Source organism: Homo sapiens, chromosome 2 (assembly GCF_000001405.40).
Source record: "Homo sapiens chromosome 2, GRCh38.p14 Primary Assembly".
NCBI classification, from domain to species: Eukaryota; Metazoa; Chordata; class Mammalia; order Primates; family Hominidae; genus Homo; species Homo sapiens.
The window spans coordinates 203,169,625-203,187,132 of NC_000002.12; the positions used below are offsets into that span (position 1 = coordinate 203,169,625).

General features: G+C 37.1%; 1 protein-coding gene across 12 annotated transcripts in view; it reads left to right on the forward strand.

Moving 5' to 3' along the window:
• Positions 1–17,508, forward strand: part of NBEAL1 (neurobeachin like 1) — a 210,587-nt gene that overhangs the window by 155,017 nt on the left and 38,062 nt on the right. For all 12 annotated transcript variants that reach the window (XM_011511658.4, XM_047445554.1, NM_001378026.1 and 9 more), the window contains 6 exons: positions 123–227; positions 2,304–2,399; positions 3,105–3,229; positions 5,523–5,663; positions 10,758–10,888; positions 13,655–13,764. In XM_011511658.4, the coding sequence (XP_011509960.1) occupies positions 123–227; positions 2,304–2,399; positions 3,105–3,229; positions 5,523–5,663; positions 10,758–10,888; positions 13,655–13,764 (708 nt within the window). The remainder of the gene's footprint in view (positions 1–122; positions 228–2,303; positions 2,400–3,104; positions 3,230–5,522; positions 5,664–10,757; positions 10,889–13,654; positions 13,765–17,508) is intronic.

Consider the following 17,508-nt stretch of genomic DNA (forward strand, 5'->3'; position numbering starts at 1 on the left):
CACAACACTAAGTTGTATACTTTAAAAGGGTGAATTGTCTCTCAATACAGCTATTGTGACTACCATAATCTTCCAAGTTTGTCTTGATTCATTTTTAAAGTATAAAATGCTGTTTTTTATAGGTTAGAAACAAAATATATAGCCGACTGTTGTCACTTCATTCCCCAAATAGTTATTATGGAAGCAGATCACCACAGGAGTTATTCAAAGCATCAGGATTGACACAGGTAGGAAATTGTAATAGTCTCTAATGAACTGTTCTGCTCTTCATTTTAAGTAAAACTTGACTTCTTCTGATTTTCCTTTGATTTTTACAACTGCTGTTCTTCCATTCAGACTGATCTTTTGAATTATCTTTGAATCTTCCTTTGTTTCCCTCACACAGACAGTGCCCTCCCTGCCACCTCCTGTATCATTCAGTTCATGGGTATATCCGTTAATAATTTTCTCTTTTTAAAAAATAAGGCTGGGCGCAGTGGCTCACGCCTGTAATCCCAGCAATTTGGGAGGCTGAGGCAGGCGGATCACCTGAGGTTGGGAGTTCAAGACCAGCCTGGCCAACATGGTGAAACCCCATCTCTACTAAAAAATACAAAAAGTAGCCAGGCATGTTGGCGGGCGCCTGTAATCCCAGCTACTCGGGAGGCTGAGGTGGGAGAATCGCTTGAACCGGGGAGGCGGAGGTTGTGGTGAGCTAAGATTCGTGCCACTGCATTGCAGCCTGGGCGACAGAGCAAGACTCTGTCACAAATAATAATAATAATAATAACATGGGTTTTAAAATCTTAATAATAAAAATAATCAATGCATGAGGTTTAAAAAGGGCCTGGAAAGGGCCAAAAAATGCCAATTCTCCTACCAGCCAAAGTGAATTAATGCTCTCATGAATTATATTCTTATTTATATCCCAGTGTCACTTGGATTTGTTCTGCCAGGACGCAAAGGAAAGCCGTTGTTTTTGGCTTTCCAGGACTGTTCGTAGTCTCTTAATCAGGGTCTTTGCTTCCTGGCTGTCTCCTTCCTCCCACAAACACATTAATCTTTCTTAAGTGTTGCCCTTATTCAAGACCCATCAGCAATTCTTTACTATTGCCAGTGAAAAAAGTTTTATTTAATAAAGTACGTTTCCTGTTGCCTCTGCAATAAACTTTATTCTTTAAGTGCTGATCCCTCAACTTGGCACTCAAGAACAATTGGGCTACACCTAAGTATCCTCTGAGGATAATTAATGTAATGTTTCATTAAAATAGTTGGATAGTTTTAATATATCAAGACACTGTTTTTTAATATGCATACTTATGAAAATTTCAATTTGTAACAAAAATTTCTAAGTGGAATAGTCCTAAAATTCGAAATTTTAGGCCACATGCAGTGGCTCACAGTTGTAATCCCAGCACTAAGGCTGGTGGATCCCCTGAGGTCAAGAGTTCGAGACCAGCCTGGCCAACATGGTGAAACCCCATCTCTACTAAAAATACAAAAAATTAGCTGGGCATGGTGGTGGGTGCCTGTAATCCCAGCGACTCAGGAGGCTGAGGAAGGAGAATCACTTGAACCCTGGAGACAGAGGTCACAGTGAGCTGAGATCACACCATTGCACTCCAGCCTGGGCAACAAGAGTGAAACTCCATCTCAAAAATAAAAAAGTAATTTAAAAAATGAAATAATAAAATAAAATGTGAAATTTTAAGACATTTATTCTGGGCATGGTGGCATATGCCTGTAAACCCAATGCTTTGGGAGGTCAAGCCAGGAGCATCACTTGAGGCTAGGAGTTTGAGACCAGCCTGGGCAACAAAGCAAGACCTCATCTCTACAAATAGTTTAAAAAATTAGCCAGTGTAATAGGGCATGCCTTTAGTCCTAGCTACTTGGGAGGCTAAGCCAGGTAGATAGCTTGAACCCAGGAGCTTGAGGCTGTAATGAGCTGTGATTGCTTCACTGCACTCCAGCCTGGGTGACAAAGTGAGACCATTTCTCTGAAATAAATAAATAAATAAAATAAAAATTTTAAGGTATTCAAATAAAACATGTAATTGAAGAAAAGACAAGGTTTTTTTTTTTTAGGAAAGAATTTTTATCAAGACCTAGACTGTGGTATAAGATTTATGTTGAATTTTCTGTTCCTTTTTTAGAGACCAATATTTTAAAAGAAGTAAATTTAGGAAAAGTATATTGATTTATCTCCCTGTTGTACCTTTTTTTTTTTTTTAGCCCATTCTTGGTACTGTCAGTAATAGCTACCAATGTCTAAGAGATGTAGATTTTTAAATTTTGATATTGCTCTTTTTTGTGCTGTCTAGAAATGGGTAAACAGAGAGATATCAAATTTTGACTACCTCATTCAAATAAATACAATGGCAGGACGAACCTATAATGACCTTGCACAGTATCCTGTGGTAAGTTTTGCATAAACCTTATAAATGTGGAATTGCCCTACAGTTTTATAAATCACATAAGTATATACATGATACTTATTTTTTATTTAAAAAATATAAAAACACTTTGGCCTTTCTGTATGTTTTCTACCCAGTTATTTTCAAAAAGTATATAAACATGAAAACTAATTTAAATAAAAGCCTTTTTTCTTTCACTTCCTTGAAAATATCCAGTGGGGCAGGTGCGGTGGCTCATGCTTGTAATCCCAGCACTTTGGGAAGCCAAGGCGGGTGGATCACCTGAGGTCAGGAGTTTGAGACGAGCCTAGTCAACATGGTGAAACCCCGTCTCTACTAAAAATACAAAAATTATCTGGGCGTGGTGGTGCACACCTGTAATCCCAGCAACTCAGGAGGCTGAGGCAGGAGAATCGCTTGAACTCAGGAGGCAGAGGTTGCAGTGAGCCGAGATCATGACACTGCACTCCAGCCTGGGTGACAGAGCAAGACTTTGTCTCAAAAAAAAAGAAAAGAAAAGATTCCAGTGGAATTATAGGAAATAATGCTTCTGGTTATTGAACTAAAGATGAATGGATATTTACAACAGGGAAAAAATATTTTTAGAGACTATCCCTTTTTGTCTTTAGATAACCATTTGATATTAGATATGAGGATATTAGCTTCTCTAGGAAGGAATGTCTAAATTGTAAATTATGGCTCTTTTAGTTTCCCTGGATTTTACAAGATTATACTTCGGAAGAGTTGGACCTTAATAACCCTGCTGTATTTCGAGATCTTTCCAAACCAATTGGGGTAGTTAATGAAAAAAACGCCAAAGCTATGAGAGAAAAGTAAGTGCTTCTTATTCCTTTTATAAAATACACATTGCTTCTTTGAATTTGTATTGATTTTTTACTATGGCCAACCAAAAAAATTTTTTTTTTATCGTACTACTACTTTTGATAATCAGAGTCTGATAATTACTTCACTAAGTTTTCTTGAAAATAACTTGGTTGCCTTTCAGAAATCTTGACTATACTTGTGTTGATTTCCCTTCATCACCAAATTTAAATTGATATTGCTCAGAATTTCTTTTTACCATGTAATAAGTATGTGCTAAAGAGTAATAAATTCTTGAAATTTTTCTTCCCAGATGTTTTAAACTTTATAACTTAATAATCAAACATATTAAAGTATCTGTCTAATATAATATTTGGGTAGATATACAACTTATACTGATGTGTTTTCAGTAATAATGTGAATAAAGAAGAGAGAATGTGTGGCAATTTAGAACATGTCATTTTGATAAGAAGAAGAAGATTTTATAGTTCTGTTTATGATCTACCCTGTCAACTTCTCACAATTAATTTTTTCAAGGCAAGCTGCCCACAGGCAACAGAATAACCTGATTTTAATTTCCCTTTTTCTCCCTGTGAACTTAGGGATGACTTTTGAGTTTTGAATTCTAATAATAAGGACAAAACTATTTTACACATTAACTTAGTTATAGATTGATATGAAAGTAGGTGGTACTTTTTTTTTCTACTTTTTCTTTGCAAACCTTCCCTAGGATTTTTATAATGTTTGATATTTGATTTGACTTGATTTACCAGTGGAACTTTGCTGTGTATATATGTATACCATCACTGCCATTAGTCAAACTTTTTTTTCTGATAATAACCAAAAGAAGATTTTATAATTCTTTAAAACAGTGTTCTAAGGAAACACTCATATAAATAACTTATTTTATTGGTAATTAAAGATACAAGTTGTTTTACATTTTAGTGGTACATTTTTGCATAGATACAAATGGCTTTGACCTGAAAACTTTTTTATTCTCCTGAATATTAATGAGTAGTATGTAAAAGGAAATTGGCCTCAGCTTAATGAACCCATTACTATTTTGGTTTTTGAAATTCAGTGTTTATGGCCTACAAAAATCTTTTATTCTTATTTAGATTTTATACACGCTAATTCAGATGTCACCATTCAGACCAATTATGCATGTATCAGTGATAGACCTTGAAGAATCACTGTATATCTTTTGGTAATAATCTGGTTTAGGCCTTTTTCCTATCCACCATCTCTTTTTTCTTTTACCTTTAGATTTCTAGGTATCAATTTTCACAATTCTTGACTGGTTCTTCCTTTTTTTTTTTTCCTGTTACCTTGGCCACAAAAGGATGTTTAATTATCACAGTGCTTTATACTAGCAAAAAAAAAAAAAAAAAAAAAAAAAAATACAAGGAAACAATCTAAGTGTCTAAAAAGTAAAGAAATAGTTAAATTGTGGTACATCTATACAGTATTATGTACCTGTTAAAAATAGACTACTCAGTCATTTGGAAAGATGTCTGTAGAAAATTGTTAAGTGAAAAATTGTTAAATGAAAAATATATTGTTATGAACAATATATGTAGCACTTTTATGTGAAAAATATTTGTATATTAATTCATACATTAGGATAGATATTCACCAAAAAATTTGTGTTAATTATCTCTGGGATGTGGAATTATAGTTGATTTTAAGTTTCTTCTGTTTTGATTCTCTATTTTCTAATTTTTCTACAATGAACATGTATTATTATTGCATAACAAAAACTATTCCAGGCTGGGTACGGTGGCTCACACCTGTAATCCCAGCACTTTGGGAGGCTGAGGCAGGTGGATCACAAGGTCAGGAGATCGAGACCATCCTGGCTAACATGGTGAAACCCTGTCTCTACTAAAAATAGAAAAATTAGCTGGGCGTGGTGGCAGGCACCTGTAGTCCCAGCTACTTGGGAGGCTGAGGCAGGAGAATGATGTGAACCCAGGAGGCGGAGCTTGCAGTGAGCCGAGAGCGAGACTCTGTCTCAAATAAATAAATAAATAAATAAATAAATAAATAAATAAAAATAAAAATGAAAACTATTCCAGAATTAAGTGTTTATGATATTTTGTTGTTCAGAAAAAAGTATTAAGCAATAAAATTTTTTTCGTTTTCTAGTATGGTATAATGATATGAATACAGAGTTTGATAATGAGGCATATGAAGAAGGATGGACTTTTTAAAAACTGTATTTTCAGAAATAAAATACAAACTTATGCCCCCTTATGTACTTTATTATTGTGGTTTTAAAACTTTAGGATTTTTTCCCCACAGATATGAAAATTTTGAGGATCCTATGGGAACTATTGATAAGTTTCACTATGGTACTCACTATTCAAATTCTGCGGGGGTCATGCACTATCTCATTCGTGTAGAACCGTTCACCACCCTCCACATCCAACTTCAGAGTGGAAGGTATGTTTTGAGTAAATAAGCTATTTTTTTATGACTATGTTAGTGTTGAAAACTGTTTGCCTTCATGTCATGTACTGTGTAACATGTCTTTTTTATTCTCCTGTATTAAATTTTGATCAGCTAAAAATAAACTAGTTTGAGAATGAGTCACTCAAACTGTCTCACACAAGTGATTTAAGGAGAATTCCTTTTTCAGTGTTATCCCAGTGTACCTTTGTGATTCTTACTGTTTTGAGGAATCTACCAGAGATTTATAATTAGATCTGATTTAGAGCTAAATCTAAGGCATCACCGGAGAGTCAAACCAATCCAATGCCTATGCCTATGTAGTCCTAAAAATATGTATCATGAGGAATGGAAGGAGGAGCAATAAGAGACTCTTACATTATTACAGCAGCTCAAACAAGTCTTTGATACCACTGTATTTACACTGTGGGTATTATAACTTACCTATGTTGTACATTTTCCTAATCCTAAGGAAACCAGCTTTTCCATGAATCTTCTGTTCCTCAGTAAATCCTCCACATAGCTCCCTATTTATACATTTTTGTCTCCATGTTGCCTTACTGTTTAACAGCCATTTTGCCTTCCCTACCCAAACCAGAGCTATGTAAATATTGCCTTTTCTGTTCTCTTTCCATGTAGCTTTTATCTCTCACAGTTAACCTGGGTTCCTTATTTCTGTTTATGTACAATAAGCCTTGGCTTTCAAGAAGAGACTCTGGCCCTCAGATCACTAAACATCCCCAGATTTTACATGTCCCATGTAACCTTTGATGGTGACCTTTGAAGTATTATATAGTCTATTTTTGAAGCTTTGTAAAAATTCATTTAGTCATAAAATTATTAAAAGCTGAAAAGATCCAGTTATACTTTATTGCATCTTTTTTTTTTTTTTTTTTTTGAGACAGAGTCTCACTCCTTCACCCAGGCTGGAGTGCAGTGGTGCAATCTCAGCTCACTGAGATGCGTGTGGTGTGGTATGGTGTGCCACCACACCTGGGTAATTTTTTTGTATTTTTGGTAGAGATGGGGTTTTGCCATATTGCCCAGGCTGGTCTTGAACTCCTGATGTTAAGTGATCAGCCCACCTTGGCCTGCCAAAGTAAGTATCTGATAGAAGATACTTTTCTCTCCATAAGATACAGTAAAGTAGGCCAGGTGTGGCAGTTCACACCTCTAATCCCAGCACTTTGGGAGGCCAAGGTGGGTGGATCACCTGAGGTCAGAATTTCAAGACCAGCCTGGCCTGGCCAAAATGGTGAAACCCCGTCTCTACTAAAAATACAAAAAAATTAGCCAGGCATGGTAGTACATGCCTGAAGTCCTAGCTACTCAGGAGACTGAGGCATGAGAGTCGCTTGAACATGGGAGGCGGAGGTTGCAGTGAGCTGAGATTGTGCCACTGCACTCCAGGCTGGGTGAAGGAGTGAAACTGTCTCAAAAAAAAAAAAAAATGCAATAAAGTATAACTAGGTCTTTTCAGCTTTTAATAATTTTATGACTAAATGATTTTTTTTACAAAGCTTCAAAAATAGATTGTATAATACTTCAAAGGTCACCATCAAGAAAGTAAAAACTGGCCAAACATGTTGGCTTATGCCTTTAATCCCCAACACTTTGGGAGGCCAGGTCAGGTGGATCACTTGAGCCCATGAGTTTGAGATCAGCCTAGGCAACAAGGCAAAACCCCATCTCTACAAAAAATAGAAAGTTAGTCGGGTGTGGTGGTGTGCACCTGTAGTCCCAGCTACTTGGGAGGCTGAGGTGGGAGGATAGATTGAACCCAGGAGGTCGAGGCTATAGTGAACCATGATTGCACCACTGTACTCCAGACTGGGTGACACAGCAAAGCTCTATCTCAAAAAAAAAAAAAAAAAGGAAAAGAAAAGAAATGAAATGAAAACTATACCTGATAAGGGACTTTTATATATTTGTACCTAGAATATATAAAAAACCCTTACACTCAAGGTAAGGTGGCACACACCTATAACTTCAGCTACTCAGGAGGCTGAGGCACAAGGATTGCTTGAGCCCAGGAGTTCAAGTTCAGCCTGGGCAACATAGTGAGACGCCCATCTCTATTAAAAAAAAAAAAAAAGAGGAAGGGGGAAGAGTTCTTATATCTTAATAATAAAAAGACAACCCAATTAAAACATAGACAACAGATCTAAATAAACATTTCTTCAAAGGAGATATGCAAATGTTCAGTAAACACATGAAAAGATGCTCAACAGCATGAGTCATCAGGGAAATTCAAATCAAAACCACAGTGAGATGCCACTTCACACCCACTATGATAGCTATAATAAAAAAGACAAATAATAACTAGTGCTGAAGAGCATGTGGAGAAATTGGAAGCCTTATAAATACTGCCAGTGGGAATGTAAAATGGTATAGCTTTTGTGGAAAATAGTCTGGCAGTTCCTCAAAAAGTTAAATATAGAGGGGCTGGGTGTGGTGGCTCACACCTATAATCCCAGCACATTGGGAGGCTGAGGTAGGCAAATCACTTGAGGTCAGGCGTTCGAGACCAGTCTGGCAAACATGGTAAAACCCTGTCTCTACTAAAAATACAAAAATTATCTGGGCGTGGTCGTGGGTGCCTGTAATCCTAGCTACTCTGGAGGCTGAGGCAGGAGAATTGCCTGAACCCGGGAGGCGGACATTGCAGTGAGCCAAGATCATGTCACTGCACTCCAGCCTGGGCGACAGAGCAATACTCCATCTCAAAAAAAAAAAATAAAAAAGTTAAATATAGAATTGCTGTATAACCTAGAAATTCCACTTCTAGATACATACCTAAGATAATTGAAGACATATATGCACACAAAAATTTGCACATAAATGTTCATACCAGCCTTTTTTTTTTCTTTTTTCTTTTTTTTTTTTTCTGAGACAGAGTCTCACTCTGTCGCCCAGGCTGGAGTACAGTGGCTCAGTTTCCGCTCACTGCAACCTCCATCTCCTAGGCTCAAGCGATTCTCCTGCCTCAGCCTCCAAAGTAGCTGGGATTCTAGGTGTGCACCACCACACTCAAGTAACTTTTTTGTATATTTGGTAGAGACGGGGTTTTGCCATATTACCCAGGCTGGTCGTGAACTCCTGATCTCAAGTGATCTGCCCACCATGGCCTACCAAAGTGCTGGGATTACAGGCGTGAGCCACCTCACCTGGCCATACCCGTATAATTTATAACCAAAAAGTAGAAACAAACAAGTGTCCATCTACTGATAAATGAATAATGTGATATATCCATACAATGGAATATTATTTGGCCATGAATGAATTCAAGGAATGAAGTATTGATACATGCTATAATATGAATGAACCTTGAAAACATTATGCCAAATGAAATAAGCCAGATACAAAAGGGCACATATTACATGACTTACATGAAATGTCCAAAATACACAGATAGTCAGAATAGGCAAAATGAAATAAAAATAGGCATAGAGATATAAGGTACATTAGCAGTCTCCAGGGGTGGGAGTAGGGTGAATGGGCAGTGACTGCTAACAGGTACAACATTTCTTCCTGGAGTAATGAGAATGTTGTAAAATTCACTGTGATGATAGTTGCACAATTATGAATATACTGAATTAAACCTTTGAATCATCCACTTAAAACGAGCAATTTATATGTTAATTTTATCTCAAAACTATGCCTCTTCTTGAATATACTATATACTGAAATGTTTTAGATGGTCAGATGTCTATAATTAAATTATAATTAAATTCAAAATTCTGTTAAGATCAGCTCTGCTTCAAACCAAGATTAAATAGGTGTAAAACACAAGAGACAAATTGGTCATTAATGTCACTTTTTTTCTTTGTAGCATAGCCTTACCTTAGACTCAAGGCCATTAAATACTTAATAAATCCAGGAAAACAATATCAAATGAAATAAAACAGAAGGGATTTATACTGTTGTTTTATTAGGGAAAGCATAATACAATTGCAGCATATCCATTTGAGCTTCATTCAGCTACTATAGACGCAGTGCCCATGATTAAATTTAAATAAATAAAATTAAGCCGGGAGCAGTGGCCTGGGCCTCTTAGTCCCAGCTACTTGGAAGGCTGAGGTGGGAGAATCTCTTGAGGCCAGGAGTTTGACACTGTAGCACATTATGATGGTGCCTGTGAATAGCCACTGCACTCCAGTCTGGGCAACATAGTGAGACCCTCATCTCTAAAATAAGTAAATACATAAAATTAATTAATTGAAAATTAAATAATATTAAAATAAGACAATAGATTATGCAAGTAAAACATAAAAGCTTTAGCCACAGAGTTATTTCCCTAACTCACTCTCTGGTTTTAAGAGGAAGAGTTTGTAAAAATATTTATATATCAGTGATTAAATCAGCAGCGTTCCTATAGATCTATTAACCAAGTATATTGATACTATAATGTTTATAATCATATTTATACTCTGATTTTCAAATATTGAAATAACATTCACTTTCTATAATAAATTTTATTCAGCAAAAATGCCTTTTTTTTTTGAGACAGAGTCTTGCTCTGTCGGCCAGGCTGGAGTGCAGTGGCACAATCTCCCAGGAATCTCTGCCTCCCGGGCTCAAGCAGTTCTCCTGGCTCAGCCTCCCAAGTAGCTGGGATTACAGGTGTGTGCCACCACGCCTGGCTAATTTTTGTATTTTTAGTAGCAACGAGGTTTCACCATGTTGGCCAGGCTGGTCTTGAACTCCTGACCTGAGGTAATCCACCCACCTCAGCCTCCCAAAGTGCTGGAATTATAGGCGTGAGCCACTGTACCCAGCCCTAAAAAGACTCTTAAGATTATATTTAATTTATTTGAAATTTTTCTCCAGTGTGATTTGGTTTTCAACTAATTCAACTAAGGTGCTACTGGTGATTAAAATTAGAGTATTTAGTTCCTGACAACACAATATGAAAGATAGAGATTATCATAATAAGGAGAGTAAATTGTACATGTAGGCATTAAAGAGGAGATTCAGAAAACAGTACCTCTAATCATTAGGAACCCTGAAGGGAGTTTAAAAGTTTTGTTTCATGTCTTGTTGTTGATTTCATTCAATATTTACTTCTCTTTTAATTTCTACATGCAGGTTTGACTGTGCAGATCGACAGTTCCATTCTATTCCTGCTACCTGGCAAGCTCTTATGGATAATCCATATGATGTTAAAGAACTTATTCCTGAATTCTTCTATTTCCCAGAGTTTTTGGAAAATCAAAATCGTAAGAAATAGAGGATTAAAAATTTGACTAGCAGGTCCCAATGGAGGAGCCTCAAAAATGTCTTTCAGGACATTTTTGTAATATCCTGTAGATTATTTAAGATTCATTCTGTCTGTGGATTACTTAGTGACAGGGCTGAACTAATGCTATGAGTCTTACCTTCCAGGGAAGTGCTATAGGGAACTAAGCCAAAGGAGTCAAATTTGAATCAGTAAGAGAATTTATCAGACTACAGTGTTTACTAGGGAAGCAAAAATGACCATATGCTATTTCAGCTATATATACCACTTAGGTTAAAAGTGTTTGAGTTAGATAAGGTGAGGATTTAGACTAACCATCAGCTGACTACAGGTCTGTTAACCAACTCCATGGGCAAACTCATGTCTTTATATATACAGTTTCACTGAATACAGCCAGTCAATTTTTTTTTTTTTTTTTTTTTTGAGACAGGGTCTCGCTTTTCCCTTAGGCTGGAATGCAGTGCTGTGATCACTACTCACTGCAGCCTTGACCTCCTGGGCTCAAGTAATCCTCTCAGCTCAGCCTCCTGAGTAGCTAGGACTACAGGTCTGCACCACCATGCCTGCAATTTTTTTTTTTGTAGAGATGGGGTCTCACTTTGTTGTCCAGGCTGGTCTCGAACTCCTGGACTCAAGTGATCCTTCCACCTTGGCCTCCCAAAGTGCTCGGATTACAGGTGGGAGTCACCATGCCCGGCCAGCTTCATTTTTGTGTCATAGAAGGTTTCTTTCAAAGTAAGCATAGTGGCAGATTTGAGTAGTTGCAACAGATATGATAACACTCACAAAGCCAAAAATATTTATTCTTTGACTTTTTATAGGAAAAATTTGGTAACTCCTGATTTAGAGCATGCAAGAGTAGGCAAATTAAAATGACAGGATATAAGTTACTGTAATATTTGAAAATTTATGTTATGTTTTTGAAGTAGAGAAGTATGGAGTTAAATATTAATACCTTTTTAAATGTCCAAATCCTTTTTCTGTGAGGTAGTTTTACATTTACTTTTAAGTACAAATAAGGAAATTAGCAATATTTTTATTATTGGTGTTCTTTAGGGAGGTTCCACAGTATTAAAGGGTTATTACCAACTTTTTTCCCTGCCCTAACATGTAATGTTAGTGTTTGACCCTTCATTTATTCAGTACAATTATTTGTCATACTGTGGAGAATATATCCAGGGCTTAATGTCACTTTGACCATGAACTCTGGAACAAGCTGTTGGAGGCAGGGCATCACAGTAAGGCAGTCAGAATTGGTGACTTTCAGAAAATGAGGTAAATCTGTTGTCTGAGTCTGATCCTAAACTCTCAGTCAGCTATTGGACTGGATTCTTCTAAAGCAGAGTATCTAGAATAGGAGGGATGAGCAGACTACATTTGGATAAAGAATTTATAAGGTACTCTTTAACAATTTATATCAGAGTTAGTTGCTATCTTTAGCACCATTGTCCTGATGGCCTCCACTTCTAGCTATACATTGCCTCTTTGAAATGAGCCATTTGGGAGAAAGCAAATATATCAATTAGAATGCCTTTAAGAATAAAAAACTTAAAAAGCAAAGAAAAACAGAATGCCTTTAGGAAAAAATTTAATAAAACCAACTCAAAATTGTGCAAACAAGGAAATTTTAGTGTTTCCCATAATAAAAATCCTGAGGTATGGTAGTTTCAGATAGTTTAGCATCATCAGCGCCAACTTTTTTTCTGTATTTTCACTCTGCCATTCTGAGTATTTTGGCTTTGGCTAGTTCCTCTCATGGTCACAAATGCCTAACGCAGTTTTAGGCATCATAGGCAGATCCAACAGTATCGCAGAAATAAGTGAGGCTGTTAATCCATTGTGTCCTTTCTTAAGAGTGAGAAACTCTTTCTCATAAGTTCTCCTCACTCTCCAGAACTGGGTCATATACCAACCCCTAGACCAGTCACCTGGAATGGGCATGAAATATAGGGCAGAGATGGACACTTGAATGAAATAAAGGTTCTGCTAGCAAATAAAAAGAGGGAATGACTATCAGGTGGGCAACGAATAACATCTGCTACACTGTGATGGGTTTAACATAAAACCAAAGACCCTGTGCATTCTGTCATTTTATGACATTTAAACTCCTCTCCAACTTGTGATACACTGGTATTTTAAGGCAGCATACTGGTATTTTAAGGCCTTCTTTTTTGAAGTTCTTTTGTGTTAACAGTCCCCCTTCTCCCCTGCCATGTTGTGTAAACAAAAAAACCCTCATATTTGGGGAAATTTTATCAAAATGCCATGTTCTAACCTATGAGCAAATCTTTATTATGCAAGTATCTATTTAGAATAGTGGTATGTAAATATTATTCTTCCATCAGACAAATATAACTCTTCCAGTAGGTGAGCTTAAGGTATGAGTTACACCAAAAAGCTTTAAGGAGCTGTATTTTACTATTAGAGGGACTGTGTCCCTCTCATTATTTTAAGTGTAAGAAGAAAACTTAATTTTGCATTTTGGTCTGATTGAAATAAGGGTTGTAGCTATAGTTTCCCCCACTTTTTTTGCTTAACAACTTAATTCTTACTCTAATTTACCTTATAATAGCTAATTTAAAACTCGTTATTTTTGTTTTTAAATTAACTGGTATGTACTCCAATAGATAAGAATTTTAAAAGAAAAAATATGTTTTGCTTAGGAATGTGCCCTCATTAGTGTTTGTTTTACTTCGTTTATTATAATCTAAAATGATTTGATACATTTTCTTTTTACATGTCTTAGAATTTAACTTGGGTCGTCTACAGATTTCCAAAGAATTAGTAAATGATGTCATTCTCCCGAAATGGGCTAAATCAGCTGAAGATTTCATCTATAAACATAGGAAAGCTTTGGTAAGAGTTTTGCATTTAGTTATTTGACAGAATAATAAGATAAAAGATGTGTTTTCCAGAGGATGGGATAATCTGACTTAGTTATTTTTCTAGATTAATTTGTAATCTATTATATATGCTGACTTTAGAAAGTACAATATAGCAATTTATTTTGAGGATATGAATCTTCTGATATAATGAGACTATAGTATAGTACCATGAATAAATATATATATATATAGCAAAATATTAAACATTTCAGCTCTGTAAAATGTCCATCTGCTGTGTATGTAAATATTCCAGTCACCAAGCTGGTGTAGTTTGGTGTTTTACAGTTTTCACATTTATTTCAAATCTAATAAGGATGAGTACATTTTTGTTTTCTCTGAAAGATTTCACTAAGCTTCTAAAAGAAAGGCAGCTAAGCCAAGCACAGTGGCTCACACCTGTAATCCTAGCACTTTTGGAGGCCAAGGAGGCCAAGGCCTCACCTGAGGTCAGGAGTTCGGAGATCAACCTGGCCAACATGGTGAAACCTCATGTCTACTAAAAATAAAAAAATTAGCCAGGCGTGGTGGCGCATGCCTATAATCTCAGCTACTCAGGAGGCTGAGGCAGGAGAATCGCTTGAACCCAGGAGGCTGAGGTTGCAGTGAGCTGAGATCACGCCGTTGCATTCCAGCCCAGGCGACAGAGCGAGACTGTCTAAAAAAAAAAAAAAAAAAAAAAAAAGAAACAAACAAAAAAAGGCAGCTAAACCCTAAATGCCACTTGAAAAAAAAGGTGGGCACAGTGGCTCACGCCTCTAATCCCAGCACTGTGGGAGGCCAAGGCGGGCAGATCACCTGAGGTCAGGAATTTGCAACCAGCCTGGCCAACATGGCAAAACCCCATCTGTACTAAAAATACAAAAATTAGGTGGGTGTGTTGGCGGGTGCCTGTAATCCCAGCTACTCAGGAGGCTGAGGTAAGATAATCTCTTGAACCCAGGAGGCGGAGGTGACAATGAGCTGAGATCGCACCACTGCACTCCAGCCTGGGAGACAGAGCGAGAAGCCATCTCAAAAATAAATAAATAAATAAAGTATTAGTTTTTAGTTAAATTTCCTAATTTGGAATTGAAGGACTAGTGAGGGTTAGTTTAACGTTGGTTATTGTGTTGCTATCTTGCAGATGATATTGATGGCTCCACTTTTCCCCACAGTAGCTCACTTTATTCTTTACCTAAACTGAAATGTTGGAGGACTCTGAAAATAATTAAGCCAGTACTTGGAAACATTTTCTATCATTATATATTTATAAAATAAGTATATATTTATAAAATTCAGAATTTGATTATAATATTTGTAAGCCTTAACCCTATGCATGAATAAGGAATTTAGAAAAAATTTAGAAAAGCAAAAATGAGTATAGCCAAGTGTGGGTGGTGTGTACCGGTAGTCCCAGCTACTTGGGAGGCTGAAGTGAGAGGATCACTTGAGCCCAGGAGTTTGAGACCAGCCTGGGCAATATAGCAAGACCCTGTATTTAAAAAAAAAAAAAAAAAGTTTATTTGGGAATGAATGATGAATTGCAGTCTGATAATACCTGTGCCCTGGTGAACCATTAGGGACCAGAGATGTACCCAGGAAGGCAAGGATTTTTAAAGGTAAAGTGAGGAAGTTTACATGAGTTGTTTTGAAACAATTATCCTTGACCACACGGATTAATAACAAGGATGGCATTAGTCCAAGGTTGAACAGGCAGTTGCTGGGCAGACATCCTCGCAGAAGTATTCTTGGTGTATGGTTGTGGTTTTCAGAGTGTCTTTGTCATAGTCTTTATTGTAGGCATGTAGGCATGTATGCATAAGAGCTCCTCCTTGATGGACTCTCCACTGAATTTTGTTAGGTTTTGGCATTCCATTTTTATCCATACAGCTTTCACAACCCTATTAATAAGATATTAGAATTATATATTTCAATTATGTATTACTGAGTAACAAACTGTTCCAAAATTCAGTGGCTTAAAAGTATAGCCATTTTAAGGGAGAGATAGCATTAGGAGAAATACCTAATGTAGATGACGGATTGATGGGTGCAGCAAACCACCATGGCATGTGTATACCTACATAACAAACCTGCATGTTCTGCACGTGTATCCCAGAACTTAAAAGTATAACAATAAAAAGAAAGTATAGCCATTTAATCATCATCTCCCACAGTTCAGTGGGTTGGCTGGCCTCAACTGAGGAATTCTGCTGGTCTTGCTTGAGGTTCTCATGCAGTTAGTAGCAGTCATATGGCAGCTGGGATTGGAGTCATCTGAAAGCTGCATCGAAACGGTAGGATGCTAGCTTTTCTCCCTCTCCATGTAATGTCAGGATATCTCCTCTCCAACTGGGTAGTCAGACTCCTCACCTGGCAGCTAAGTGCTCCCCAAAAGTAGAAGCTTCCACTCTTTCTTCATAGCATAACTTCTGCCACTTTGTAATGTTTAAGCAGTAACAGTATCAATGCCAGATTGAAGAGGAGGGAAACTGAGCTCCATCTTTCAGTGCTAACAGTGAGAAAGAATTTGTAGCTATCTTAAATCAACATGTATTCTGCCCTCTGGTCACAAATTATTTTCCTCCTACATGCAAAATATATTCACTTCCTCTCAAGACACCCTTCCCCCACAACTCTTATCTCATTAGGGAAGGAATTGGCAAATTGTTTCTGTAAAGGGACAGATAGTAAATCTTCGTTGGTCATAAGATCTATGTCACAGGTACTCAGTTCTGCCATTGTACTGCAAAAACAAATGGATGTGGCTGTGTTCTACTACTACTCTACAAATCTGGCAGCAACTCAGATTTGACCCACAGACAGTAGTTTGCTATTCTGCATTAAGGCTTGAGGCCTAAAATTCAGTATCTCATTATCTAAGTCAAGTCTGTGTGTGGATGAAACTACTCAGATGTGGCTCCTCTTGGATCTGAAGCCTGAACTAAAGAGAGAAGTTATTTGCCCCCACATGACAACAGTGGTATGAAAGGATAAGAGAACTTATAAACAGACACTCCCATTCAAAAGGAGGAGAAAAGCAGGAGGCTCCTAGCAGTCACAAATACAAATACTGTTTTATAGCAATTCAGAATTCCAGTAAGGACATGCTCTCAGATCTTCTGTTAGGGTCCAGTCCTGTCTCCCGAGAGGGGTTCTCAGTGGCTCTTGGTTCTACCTTTGAGCTTTTGGCTCCCCACTAAGTCATTCTTTTTATTCCATAAAAATAAATAAATAAATAAATAAATAATAAAACTTTGTTTACAGGAGTATCTTTGTCAGCCTCTTTCCTAACCACAGTGAATTGAAGGCCAAAGGTCTCTCTTCTTTTTTAAACAGTTTCTCTCTTTTACTCTAAACTAGTCTAATTCCATTTAAAACTTTATAGGTTTCTTATGTGTCAGCTCTATTGGACAAAAGCCATTCAACATTACCAAACAGTCCCTTCTCTACTTTGGGCTGGATGGGTGGCTACTATGGAAAAATGCTCTTAAGATTCCTAGACACTCTATTTTCTAGTTGAGTGGGTCTGTGGGACACAACCTTAAATCTTTCTGAGGTCTCAACAGATTATTTTACAGCCAAACCCTTGAACTAAACTTTTATCCAAGACCATATTTTATTGGTGACATTCTGATTTGATAGTTGCCTTAGGCAATTTCTCATTTTGAGAGTCTTTGCCCTCTAGAGATCCCGGGACTGAGAAATGTCCCCCGGCTGGAGTGCAGTGACATTATCA